Below are 12,519 nucleotides of genomic sequence, written 5' to 3'. Positions count from 1 at the left end.
ATTGGGTGGCTGGCTTCTTTCTCTAACAGGCCTGGTCTCTCGCCCTTTGCTAATTACTTTGATCCTTTGCACTTTGTAAAAAAGCCCCACAACACCAATTGGTCCCCTCTGGCTTTAACCTTGCAACCCAGTTGGCCCTTGTAAAAAGTGGGGGTGGGTGCCAGAGGGGGGCCAGGCAAGCCCACATACAGGCACACACATGTATCCAGATCTGCGCTGACTGCCCGGGGTCTGTTTCTTTAATGGTTCTCTCCCAGGACTCTCACAAAAAAGGACAAATAAAACCCTTTTTACAAGATGGCAAGGCTGCGTGTAACATCGACTTCATCAACAACCAGTTCTTTCGTGAGTTCCTTTGCCTTTTAACATACTTTCTTTCCAGATCTCACTTTCTGCAACTGGCTGGCTCCTTCTTGCTTGCTCTTGCTTTTTGCAGCTCTGGAAAGTCTCCTTTCCCACTCCCTGTCCCAGGCCCAACCCTGACCCTTGCCAAATCCTCACTTTCATCTGCTCTTGCTCCTTTTCCCCATTCTGTGAAGCTACCGAGGAAGCAAAGTGGATTTGCCATTTGGGGAGGGAGAGTACTGGTTTGCAGGAACTCATGAAGCTGGAAGTAAAACCGAAGCTTGTTGAATTTGATGAGTATGGGGAAGATAGCCCTGTGGGCAGACAGAAATAAGGACCAGGTTTTACTCTCTTTGAAAAAACATATAGAGGCCGGGTGCAGTGGCTCACAGCTGTAATCCTAGCACGTTGGGAGGCCGAGGTGAGTGGATCACTTGAGTCCAGGAGTTCAAGACCAGCCTGGCCAACATGGCGAAACCCCATCTCTACTAAAAATACAAAAATTAGCCAGTGGCGGTGCATGCCTGTAATCCCAACTACTCAGGAGGCTGAGGCAAGAAAGTCATTGGAACCTGGGATGCAGAGGTTGCAGTGAGCCGAGATCACACCACTGCACTCCAGGCTGGATGACAGAGCAAGACTCCATTCTCAAAAAAAAGAAAAAAGAAAAGACATAGAATAGAAACAGCCAAAACCTCACATTTGTGTTTTCAAAAGCAGTTCTTCACCTCAGCCTGATTGACATACATGATTGTATCAGAATTACTTGTGATGTTTGTTGCAAGTTATTTGTTATGCATAATAAAGTCCTAAAGTTGCAAATTATTTACTTTTTAAAAATAGAATTTACTTGATTAAAAGCTATCCCTACTATAGAATATATGTAAGTCAGCCTTTGCTGCGTGACAAACTACCCCCAAACTTAGTGGCTGACAAACACCATTTATTTAGATCACGATTCTTTGAGTTAGCATGAGCTGAGTTCAGCTGGGTTGTTTTTCTGGTCTTGGCTGGACTCACTGATTTGTTTGCAGTCAGCTCTGGTATTGGCTGGGGGCTGGCTGATCAGGGGAGTGATCTTCAGCTGAAATGTCTTGCTCACAGGTATGGTCTTTCCCTGCTCCAGTAGGGTGGCTCCAGCTTGCTTTCATGGTGGGGGTAGAATTCCAAGAGAAAATGCAAGTGTGCCTATGGCCTCTTGAAGCCTAGGCTCAGCGCTGCCCTCTGTCACTTTTGATCCTTTCTATTCACCAAAGCAAATCACGAGGCTGGCCTAGATTCAAGGACAAGGAAATAGACTCCAGTTCTCCATGACGGGGATCTGTAACGCCACACTACAAAAAGCACAGATACTGGTGTAACCGCCCAATGGGTTCACCTTGCCCACAGCCGAGACAGAGCCCATTTATCAGGACAGGGGAACTGCAATAGAGAAAGAGTCATTGACACAAAGCAGGCTATGCAGGAGACTGGAGTTTTATTATTACTCAAATCAGTCTCCCTGAGCATTCGGGGATCAGTGTTTTTAAGGATAATTTGGAGGGTGGGGGAAGGCCAGTGAGTCGGGAGTGCTGATTGGTTGGGTAGGAGATGAACTCGTGGGAAGTTGAAGCTGTCCTATTGTGCTGAGTCAGTTCCTGGGTGGAAGCCACAAGATCAGATGAGCCAGTTTATCCATGTGGGTGGTGCCAGCTACTCCATCAAGTGCAGGGTCTGCAAAGTATCCTAAGCACTGATCTTAGGAGCAGTTTAGGGAGAGTCAGAATCTTGTAGCCTCCAGCTGCATGACTTCTAAACCATTATTTCTAATCTTGTGGATAATTTGTTAGTCCTACAAAGGCAGTCTAGTCTCCAGGCAAGAAAGAGGTTTGTTTTGGGAAAGGGCTGTTATCGTCTTTGTTATAAACTATAAACTAAATTCCTCCCAAAGTTGGTTCAGCCTATGTCCGGGAAAGAACAAGGAAAGCTTGAAGGTGAGAACGAAGATGGAGTCGGTTAGGCTAGACCTCTCTCACTGTCCCCGTCATAATTTTGCAAAGACGGTTTCACTGGGAAGGGAGAAGGATTGTGATCATTTCTCTACTCTAACATAATTTATTTCTTACTGTTATTCTCCTGAATTCTAGTCCCATGAAAAGACAATTGGTATTACAGGAAATACAGGAGCATGTGAACAAAGAACTGTGGCAAGTTGGGCTCCACAAAGTGAATAAGCTTGCATGCAGGATTTCTCAACACCTTCAATCACCAAGATGCACGGTGAACCTTCAAAAGTGGGAACCACAGGCAGTCCAGGCCATTTCCAAATTCCCAAATGTACACCCTTTTGAAGGGAGCATCTCTTAGGATTCATATTCTGTGAAATGTATTTTGGGAAGTACTACTATGATAACATAACTATGCTAATTTGTATCAGATAGAGGGTTTTTTTTGTTTTTTGTTGTTTTTTTTTTGTGAGATAGGGTCTCACTCTGTTGCCCAGGCTGGAGTGCAAGGTCTTTCTGTGTGAAAGGTAAGAGTTGCCTCAATGGGAAGTTTCTTCTTACCTGAATAACTTCCGGAGCAAGGAATTGTTACTGATGTATTGCTAAGAGTTGGAGTGATTCTATTATGGTGCAGATTTCCTCCTGGGATGTTTTGCTGGGAGGAGGGCCAGGCAGGGGAGGTAATCAAATTGATGATAAATAAAAGTGATCACCAAGACTCCTCCCACCCAAAGACAAATGCTCTGGGACATTTCCTTCTAGTCATTTTTCTCCCATGTATTTTCTTTATGTGATGGGATCACTCAAGTTCCTGCTTTTTGTTTTAACTTAACATTATACTAGAAGCATTTTTTGAAGATCAGTTTAGTAGTAACTCAATATTCTGCCTTATAGATGTCATATTTTACCTTATAACAGCCTATCCCCTATTTTGGATATTTTTTTTACCCCAAATTTTAGTATTTGAAATCAGAACTTCTACATCTCAAGAAAGTTGAGGGTTTTTTATTTGTTTTTCTATTTTGTTCGGTTGTTTTGTTTTGTCTGTGAGCACAGAGCCTCAGAGAGAAAATGAAGGCATGGGCTTTTTATTTGCTTTTTTGATGGCTGAGGAAGCACGATTGGAAGAGCAGTAAGATCAAACCAGTTCTCAACATTTCCATTGCTGGGGTCCCAGTTGGCAGTAGGAAGAGGAAGATTCTTTCATGTTTTCAGATAAATTGCACTTGTGGTCTTGCCAAACTGCATGCAGGATTCAGGGTTGGCTTGGATCTGAGGTCTCACTCACAGCTGTTAAATCCTCCCAAAACCACAGGCCAAATGATCTTGTTCGGGGCCTCTGAATCATTTATCTCTCTCCTATTTCTTACCTACCTTGAATCCAGAAATCATAGAAGAAAGCCTATTATTAGAAAATGGGTTTTTTGGTTTTTCAGAGTTGAGAGAGCTCGGGGGTTGGGGATGGGGGACCAAAAACCTCAAAACATCGCTGGTTTTGAATTTAGCTTGTGTATAATTACTTTGCCTCGGCTCTGGACTAGGTTAGGCTTTTTCCACAGTTCCTGAAGAGTGTGCTCTGTAGTAGTTTTCCACAAGTCTGGTCTGAGAAAGTCCGCTGCAGGGGCAAAACACTGTGAGCATGACAATTTCCCTCAGGCTTGCGTTAAGAAAAGGCAGGTCTTAAAAGTCTCCCAGATTTCTCCATGTTCTTAGATGCCTTTGGGACCCAAGATCAACAACTTAAGTGTTCTGAGCCTCAGTTTCTTCACCTGTAAATGGGGGGTACAATGGGGAAGTGCCATAAATAAAGTGAACTCTCAGTTTTATGTGCCAGGCACTATCCTAAGTGCCTTGCAACTACAAAGCTTGTCCTCCTCATGACAGCTCTATGAAATAAGTCCCATGGTGATTCCCCAGTTAAAGATGAGAAAATTAAAGTCAGAGAAATTGTGAAAAGTACCACGTATAATTCCTGTCATCCAGCGGGCGCTCCATGTATCAGATGAGCTCGAAGAATCTCTGCCGTCCTACTCATGACATACTGCCATTGCTTGTTTAACTGTTCAACTTCCCAGAGATGGTAAGCTCTGTGAAAACAGGGGTTGTGCCCAGTCTACAATTCATTGTATCCTCAGAACCTACTTCAGGTTCTGGCCCACAGCGGACACTCCATAAATGTTTATTGACTAAAGAAGTGGATGAATGAATGAATTCCAAATTGGTAATAAGTCAGTTCTTTGCCCACAGTCTAGTCAAAGCTCCTTCAATTCCTCACCCGATCTGGTATTCAGGAATTTGCAGAAAATAACTCAAATAAAGTACAAAAAACAAAAGAGAGAGGGAGAGAGAGTGTGGGTTGGTGAGTGGGGATATGGACCCTACTTAGATCTGAACAGCAAAAACAAACATCCCCCCCAACAAATTGCTTAAACACGGGCTCCTATCACTTTCTCTGTTCCCCTTGCTCTTGAAAGAAAAGAGATTCAATATAAACCCCCTATAAACAATACATTTATGTTATGGAACAAGTTGGGTCAAATATCTGAGTTAATAAAGAAAGCCCAGACTCATGAAAATTTTGCAAAACCAAAGAGACAATTATAAGAATAAGCAGAAGTTTCAGAAGATATTGCAGAAAACATGATGAGAAGCTTTGTTCACTTTTAAGCCAATAAATTCTAGACCTGAGATGCAATAAGTAAGGAGAGTTGGCTTGTCAGGGTCGGCTATTATAAAATGATAACATACAGTAGAAAATAAAAGTCTTAACATGGAAAACACGAGCATAAGTTGGTGGCAAAACAGATTGAGTATTCAGTTCAAGAAATATTGAGAGAGTGCCAACCATATATATGACAGGTGCTGTGTGACATGCTGAGTTCATGATGATAGTAAACAGGATACACACTCTCCCTTTCTCTCAGAAGCCTTTATCACATGGAGAAATCTAGAGGAAACTTGAGCAACACTATAGAAAATCTGGGACAGTACAGATTGACGTAGTCAATGAACAATCCAGCCACCAGGTTCAAAGCTTAAGAGAAAGTGTAGAAATGAGTTTGAGAGCAGTAAATTATTCATTCAGCAAACACATGAGCTAAGTCTTACTGAGAAATGGAGAAAGTTTATCTTGCGGATTATCTGCATCCTCCTACAGTATGTTTTTATTGCTTCTTGATTTCCCTCCCTGTCACCTTACAAAATTCTCAATCCTTTCTTTCCCTATCCTCTCCTACCACATACCCCAAAATTTAAAAGTTGAGTCTCAGCTACTTGTCAGTGTAAATAGGAATGAAGAAAGTAATTCACGCAAGGATGCAGGTGATTAAGTATAACTTAATGCACTTTGCAGCGTTAATAATTAAATGTAAACCAGCATTTTCACTTAATCCCATATTTATTTCTCCTAGGGAAACAAATCTTTAATTGTAGAATTTCCAGAATAGAGGTTTTGCTGTGGCAAGACACAAGAAATGCTACCTTTTAAAGCTATAGTTTTTTTTTGGTAAACTATTTGTTTCAGTGTCAACAGTTTCAGCAAACCCTTTATTAAGCCCCTAATATATGCTGGTTGCTTGAATAAATGCCATTTGCTTATTCCTCATAGCAACTTCAGCACGGGGTCTTGAAAAGTAAGGAAGGGTTTATAGAGTGGGGAGAAGCTCTGTATGTGAAGGCTACAGCTTTTGCATAGTAGTAGCATCTTAGGGAGAAAGGCTTATGAGGTGGGCAGCTGAAGCCCTTAGGGAAAGAAGGGAAGAAAATAGTAGCAAAGCATGAAAATAAGAACCAGACAGTGGAAAATAGCAATTATAATGGCTGATCTGCATAAAACGCTAAATTTGGGGCCAGGTCCTGTGTTCAGTGTTGACATATAATATGTCCGTGAAACATTACAGCAGATATTAGAAGGTAGGCACAATTGTCATCATCATGCCCGTCAGACGGTTGAAGAAACAGGCTCTGGGACATACATAACCTGACCAATGCAGTTCAGCCAACAAACATCACAACCCCAACTCAACCCCAGTCTTCCTACCGCTAGAACACACTCACTGACTACACACTCACTGACCACATGCTCACTGAGCACACACTCTAGCATGGCATTGCCAGGACACCATGTTGGCTTTATTCTATAGGGGAGTCAATGGGGAACTCCAAATGGTATAAAAAAGCAAAAAAAAAGGCCGGGCATGGTGGCTCACACCTGTAATCCCAGCACTTTGGAAGGCCGAGGCAGGCAGATCACCTGAGGTCGGGAGTTTGAGACCAGCCTGGCAAACATGGTGAAACCCCATCTCTACCAACAATACAAAATTAGCCAGGCGTGGTGGTGCATGCTATAGTTCCAGCTACTCGGGAGGCTGAGGCAGGAGAATCGCTTGAACCCGGGAGGCGGAGGTTGTGGTAAGCTGAGATCACGCCATCTCACTCCGGCCTGGGCAACAAGAATGAAACTCTGTCTCAAAAAAAAAAAAAAAAAAAAAAGCCAAAAAAGATGCCTAGGTCAGTCTTCGGGCATGAGACCAAGTCTGAGAGTGTGGTTAGAACAATGTCTCATCCCTTCAGGTAGAATAAGAATGATCCTTTTTGTACTTATAAAGAATTAGTACATAATTTTTCCCTTAGACTTTCCCAGGTGCTTCAGAAATGCTGTCGTACAGAAGAAGGTGAGGTCTTGACCAAAGTCCCTTGGAGGACTTTAGCCAGAACTGAGCCCCCGTTGGTGATCTGCCTTCCCCTCACCAAGAAACCAGAGCAGGAGTGTTTGTTTATTTGTTTTTACCCGTTGAAATGTACACAGCAGGAAATCAGTGGACTGGGCCTAAGGATCTTTCACCCACTGTTAGTTATCACAGCATAACGCTCCATTCCTCATAAGCTAGCTTTGCAGACAGGTCTTTTTGAACCTTCAGTCTGGACTCCATATTGAAACACTGTTAAACATGCAGAGCTTAGTTTCTTTCCAATCACTAATGTATGTCAGTGAATATCTTTCTATGCCTTTAATTCCTAACAATGACATCATCTTCTTTCTCAAAGCAGAATCAGGCCCTGAGTTGGAAAGTGACTCCCAGGGAAACCTAGATGGATTTGGGTAATATTCAAGCTGTTCTCTTGGCCCTCAACTCTGAGGTTGAGCAATAATCAAGGAAGGCAGATAATCTCTGGTATTGTCAGAGATTTCAATCTTTTGACTGAGATGAAAAGACCGGTCTCCATTTCCCTGGCTCAGTGGTCAGTAAGAATGCATCTCATCTCACAGGGACCATGGCAGCCCCAGGCCTTGGTCAAAGTCCAATTTACTATGTCCTCCTAACTAGGCCCCAGATGGTATCACAGAATCATAATAGAATGTCAGAGACCCTTTGAAATCAACTTGCACTCATTTTACATTTGGGACCCCTGCAGCTCAAGGAGGTTAAGAGCAAAATAATAGGCCATAGAGTCAGTTGTTCTATTAACAAGTATTTCTTGGGTACCCACTGAGCTCCAGGCCCTGACTTGGAGCTTCCAGGCTGGTAGAACAGGCAGACATTAACACAACTATTACACATGATGAACTAAATTCATATCCACGCACAGAGGGCAGCAGTAAAGCTGAAGTTGTAGGGGCCAGGGCGCTCTCTCTAGGGTGCAGGTGGCGACCCTTATGGAAGGATTTCCTGGGGAGAAATTGCATGAATAAGAATGTGAAGGAGAGGAAGCCAGGTGATGGGCTGAAGGAAAAGGTATTCAAGGCCTACGCAAAGATCTGGAAGCGGAAGGAAATATAACGTGTGAAAAACCAGAAAAGGCCCTGCATGGGTGGAGGGGAAAAGCAGACAGACAAGGCCAGAAAGAAAATCAGCAGCAATTCCAGCCCTGGAATCCAGGGCTCCTGGCTCTTACATGGAATATAATTAATGGCAGAGGAAAAGAAAATGCAAATACAACTAAAATGCAGACCCTGCCAACATACTGATGTAGAAAAGTTTGCTTTGAAGGTCTTCTTACTTCCCCGTTTAAGACCCCATCACACCCTCCAAGTTCCCTCCCTTGCCCCCAGAAAGGTCATGTTCTCACTTTCTCTCCCTTCTGCCAGTTCTCAAACCTGGTTTTAGATTTCTGACAAGCTGGAAAGGCAGGGAGGAAAAAAAAAAAAAAAAAAAAAGCTAATTCTCAGGAAGGTGGAAAGAACGGCTCTAACACAACACTTTACTGAGTGATGGTTATCCCCCCTGCTTCACAATCTGCATGTAACCCGGACATTTACCTGGCCTGAAGCAACCCATCCTTCATTGCCAACTTTCAGGGAGAGAACTTTTGAGGTAGAACGAAAGAGCACAACAATAAACTCTTGTGCCTACCACTTTAAAAATAAGTGTCATGTTTCCGGACCAAGAGATGACTGTTTGCAGTCATACTGGGTACCTTCTGTATCCTAGTTGTTATTTCTCATCGTGATACTCTACAGGTGGATAGTGTCTCCATTTTATAGATTGAGCATGCAGAGAGACTTTGAGAGGGAAAGTGCCCTGGCATGGTAGGTCTTACTGCTAATCAAGCCAGGGGCAGGATGCAAAGTCAGGCATTCAATTTCTGAAGTCGCTTGTCCCTGGAAACCTCACTGCTCAGTATACGTCCAAAAGAGGCAGCCTGTATAGGCAAATTTGCCGGCCTTCCTGGAGAGACTCAGTGGCCATTTTGCATGCAATGGGACTATAAACATTTTCACATACAAGGGAGAGGTTGGAGAAAAGATGAACCACTTCCCCCCTCTTCCATTTTGTCCATCTTGGTTCAATCCATGACTTTGTACACCTAAAGGACTGCAGGAGCCTTCTCACTGGCCTCCCTGGACTTTATTCTCTGTGTGGTCTGAACTAGGCCCTAGATGGTATCACAGAATCATAATAGAATGTCAGAGAGAATGGGTACACCAGGGTGAGCCTGTTTAAATGTATAGCGGATCGTGTCACCTCTGTCCTCAAACTCTTCAATGACTCACTCATGACGAGTAGTAGCCATATGATCTGCCCCTTCTCCTGCCTAGGAGCTCTTGACCTCATCTCTCACCATGTCTTTCTCTGTCACTCTGCTTCATGTCACTGATATTTGGAACACACCAGGCACACTCGTACCCCAGGGCCTTTGCACTGTAAGTTTCCCCTGAGCAGAACATACTTCTGGTCATCCAGCGGGCTCACTCCCTCACTCCCTCAAGGGCTTTTTACTCAACTGTCACCTTCTCAGTAATGCCTGTGCTGAGCACTCGATTTTAAATTGTCACCCCTTCTACACCTTAACGTTTTCAGTCTGACTTATGTCATCCTACCTTTTTTTTTTTTTTTTGGAAACAGAGTCTCACTCTGTCATCTAGGCTGGAGTGCAGTGGCACCATCTTGGCTCACTGCAACCTCTGCCTCCCCGGTTCAAGTGATTCTCTGCCTCAGCCTCCAGAGTAGCTGGAACTACAGGCGGGTGCCACTGCCACCACGGCCGGCTAATTTTTGTATTTTTTTGTGAGACAGGGTTTTGCCATGTTGGCCAGGCTGGTCTCGAACTCCTGGCCTCAAGCAATCCTCCTGCCTCAGCCTCCCAAAGTATTAGGATTACAGGCGTGAGCCACCACACCTGGACTGTTCTACTTTTTTTACATCATTCATGACATTGTAATATTCTATGTAATATATTCATTTTTATGTTTGCCATCTCTCTCCTTAAATTGAACTCAATTCCCCAAGGACAGTAATTTTTATCTACTTTTCCTTTCACTATTGTTATGTCCAGTACCTACTGTTATGTCTAAGAAAATAATAGGTCCTTCATAAATATCTGTTAAATGAATGAATGAATGGATAGTAATGTCTGAGGAGTCCCCCAGAGCCGAAAGAGACAGCTACAAAGGTGTTGATGAGCACACAGGGTTGCAAGGAAGCATCAGGTTTATTGTACTTGAGGCTGTGAGTACTCCTGAAGCAACCTTACACAGGAAATAGTCCCCTCTCTGGGCTAAACAGGTAAGGTCTGCAGGGAAGACACTACAACTTGCTGCTACTCCACAAAGCAGCAGTGAATACATTGGGGAGAAACAGTGGCCTCTTGAACACAATCTCTAGTTGCCTTGGAGGTCAGCTAGGAAACAGATTATCACATTGGGTTCGGTGTTTCTTACTGTGTGATGGGGCCAAGACTAGGCTAAGGTGAGTGAGACATTTGCCTTGGGGGTGAAATTTAAGTTGGTGCCCAAAGACTCCATAATACATACTCTACTGCAGTGTTTTAAAAATAAATACTTTGGGAGGCTGAGATGGGGCGGATCACCTGAGGTCAGGAGTTCGAGATCAGCCTGGCCAACATGGTGAAACGCTGTCTCTACTAAAAAATACAAAAATTAGCTGGGCGTGGTGGTGCATGCCTGTAGTCCCAGTTACTTCGGAGGCTGAGACAGGAGAATTGCTTGATCCTGGGAGGCAGAGATTGCAGTGAGCTGAGATCGCACCACTGCACTCCAGCCTAGGAGACAGAGAGAGACTCTGTCTCAAAAAATAAATAAATAGGCTGGGTGTGGTGGCTCACGTCTGTAATCCCAGCACTTTGGGAGGCGGAGGCGGGTGGATCACCTGAGGTCAGGAGTTTGAGACCAGCCTGACCAACATGGTGAAATCCTGTCTCTACTAAAAATACAAAAATATTAGCCAGGCATGGTGGTGCATGCCTGTAATGCCAGCTACTCAGGAGGCTGAGGCAGGAGAATTACTTGAACCCAGGAGACAGAGGCTGCAGTGAGCTGAGATCATGCCACTGCACTCTAGCCTGGGTGACAGAGCGAGACGCCATCTCAAAATAATTAAATAAATAAACAAACACAAAGAAAGAAAGAGAGAGAGAGAAAGAAAGAAGGAGGGAGGGAGGGAAGGAAGGAAGGAAGGAACGAAGGAAGGAAGGAAGGAAAGAAAAGAGAAGAGAAAAGAAAAGAAAAAAGGAAAGAAAAGAAAAGAAAAGGGTCAGGCTCCATGGCTTATGCCTGTAATCCCAGCACATGGGAGGCATGGGAGTATCACCTGAGCTCAGGAGTTCGAGACCAGCCAGGGTAACATAGACCTCGTCTCTACCAAAAAATAAAAAAAATTAGCCAGGCAAGGTGGGCATGTGCCTGTAGTCCCAGCTACTTCGGAAGGTGAGGTGGGAGGATTGCTTGAGCCAGGGAAATTGAGGTTGCAGTGAGCAGCAATCACACCACTGTACCGCAGCTTGGTCAACAGAGCAAGACCCTCTCTCAGTTTAAAAAATTAAAAATCAATTTTAAAAATGTGTGATGAAGAAAATATCAAACATTTCAATAAAGACAGGCTCCAACCCTGCATTTGTACAACTCAGCCTTACTTGCCTCACCCTAATCCCAGCCCTGGTTTCAATAAAACTTTATTTATAAAAACCATGTGGCCAGTTTGCGGGCCATAGTTTATCAGTTTGATTTTGTTAAAAGATCGTATTCAAATGTTATTTTCTTGATTACTGAGGTGCTGGGTGCCCCTTAAAAGCTGGGTCCAAGGTGAATGGCTCACCCTTCTCATGGTAGTCTTGGCTCTGCTGTGTGAGCCCCAGCAAATGACTTCAATATCTGAGCCTAGGTGTCTTCCCTTGTAATAAGGGTGATAACCATGGTCCCAGCCTGCAGAGTTGTAGTGAGGTTTATGCACGTAAAATCCATTTTACACAGTTACTAGCACTTGATAAACGGTGATTGTGGCATTGTTGATGTTGCTTTTATGGGCACTCTCTCTGACCAGAACTAACTCTGGGGCTTCAGGAGACTTTAGAGAACGTGGCATTCTCTGAGGATGTGGCTATTTTCTCACATAGAAACATGTCTCATTTTGGTCCTGGGCTACCTGAGAAAATAATTGTTCAGCCAAGGCCAGAACGAGTTGCCTTGTGGACTGCCAGAGTTCAAAACCCCATCATAGGGTGGCCCAGACTCTTACTATGAATTTGAACTTGTCCTGCAAAACTAAAGTGTTTCAGGACCCAGGCATGCAGCACTGTAAAAAGGGGCAATTAAACCTATAAAACCAGGGTTTATAGGGGAATTTATAGTGTCAGAGGCTTTTTATAGCTTTTTGTAGATTAGTTTAAATAGAGGAAGAAAGAACAGGGGAAAGAAAAGGAGAGGGTTTGAAACTTGAGGAGACTTAAAAGT

General features: G+C 43.7%; 1 annotated feature.

The window, feature by feature from the left end:
- Positions 7,883 to 8,384: an enhancer, noted in NCBI's record as "NANOG hESC enhancer chr12:115636884-115637385 (GRCh37/hg19 assembly coordinates)". NCBI's record gives its function as "activates a minimal SCP1, AML or CMV promoter by ChIP-STARR-seq in primed H9 embryonic stem cells {active_cell/tissue: H9 hESC(primed)}" and the evidence as "EXISTENCE:reporter gene assay evidence [ECO:0000049][PMID:30033119]".

The sequence above is a fragment of the Homo sapiens genome, chromosome 12, assembly GCF_000001405.40.
Source record: "Homo sapiens chromosome 12, GRCh38.p14 Primary Assembly".
In the NCBI taxonomy this organism is placed as follows: domain Eukaryota; kingdom Metazoa; phylum Chordata; class Mammalia; order Primates; family Hominidae; genus Homo; species Homo sapiens.
Note: the sequence above shows the minus strand (reverse complement) of the source record. Positions and strands in the feature narration are given on the sequence as shown.